The 1,291-nt window shown below is 37.9% G+C and overlaps 1 annotated feature.

Annotated features, from left to right (window-relative positions):
- Positions 206-727: an enhancer, noted in NCBI's record as "H3K27ac hESC enhancer chrX:144516631-144517152 (GRCh37/hg19 assembly coordinates)". NCBI's record gives its function as "activates a minimal SCP1, AML or CMV promoter by ChIP-STARR-seq in primed H9 embryonic stem cells {active_cell/tissue: H9 hESC(primed)}" and the evidence as "EXISTENCE:reporter gene assay evidence [ECO:0000049][PMID:30033119]".

Genomic DNA, 1,291 nt, shown 5'->3' with positions numbered 1-1,291 from the left:
CCGGCCAACACAGCGAAACCCCGTCTCCACCAAAAAAATACGAAAACCTGTCAGGCGTGGTGGCGTGCGCCTGCAATCGCAGGCACTCGGCAGACTGAGGCAGGAGAATCAGGCAGGGAGGTTGCAGTGAGCCGAGATGGCAGCAGTACAGTCCAGCTTTGGCTCGGCATCAGAGGGAGACTGTGGAAAGAGAGGGAGAGGGAGACCGTGGGGAGAGGGAGACCGTGGGGAGAGGGAGACCGTGGGGAGAGGGAGACCGTGGGGAGAGGGAGAGGGAGAGGGAGAGCTTAAACTGCATTTCTAAACAAAGTTTCTAATACTGTAAGAGCCTTTTCAAAATGAACTGTAAATTCTCATGCTGCCTGACTAGTTAGGTATTTCCTTCCTTGAATTCCTAGCAGAAGAGGAGATGGGGGAAAGTATGATGAAATTTCAGAAAGATACTAGAAGTGCCATCTTAGGTGATGATTGATGTGAAGTAATATATCTGTCAATTATTCACATAGGCCTGGGGCATGGGGAAAGGCAGGAGGTTCAACTATTGTAATTATTTAAACAAAAGGGAATCTGTTCTTTAAAATAATCATCTTTCCCCTTCTCAATTCTTTTCATTTTTCCCCACAGATGAGATAGCCTTGACATCATCCAGAAGTGGTAATATATACTGAGCACTGAATGTCAGATGAATGGCCTTGAATACTGCTTTTGTGTTTCTTAATTTATTTACTCTATTTATCAGTTCTATTTTGCAAAGGAAACAATTTATTACCTTCTGAACTCATTTTAATAACTATGTAACTGTGTGTTTGTATGACATCATGACTAATAGTGTAAGACTGCTTCATTCCCCTTAGTATTTGTGATACCAAAATAAATCTAGGTAGTAGTCTAGATTACTTGGCAAATACAAGAGAAATATTTGCTTTTCAAGCCCAAGTTATTAGTTTAATGTAACAGAGTGATTTTATTTTACCCTTTACAATTATTTGTATTGAAATAAATTCACACAGAAACAAAAATATTTAAAGTACTCAATACTCTGCTACATGTCATTTCTATTTTTAACACACAATTTAAAGTTAACATGGTTAAGGGAAATAAAAGACGAACACAGATGCTGTGTTATTCAAAATAAAACCTTAAATCTATGAAAATAATTATGAGTTTCCAGATAAGATCATTCAATATAGTGATATTTTAGTGATATTTAGCTAATTTTTACATGGACGGCATCCATGTAAAAAAATAATTTGTGAATGAAAATGTTGGTAAAAAGTAACTGTGCTAAGAA

The sequence above is a fragment of the Homo sapiens genome, chromosome X (assembly GCF_000001405.40).
Source record: "Homo sapiens chromosome X, GRCh38.p14 Primary Assembly".
Taxonomy (NCBI): Eukaryota; Metazoa; Chordata; class Mammalia; order Primates; family Hominidae; genus Homo; species Homo sapiens.
This window is presented reverse-complemented; position numbering and strand designations above follow the sequence as displayed.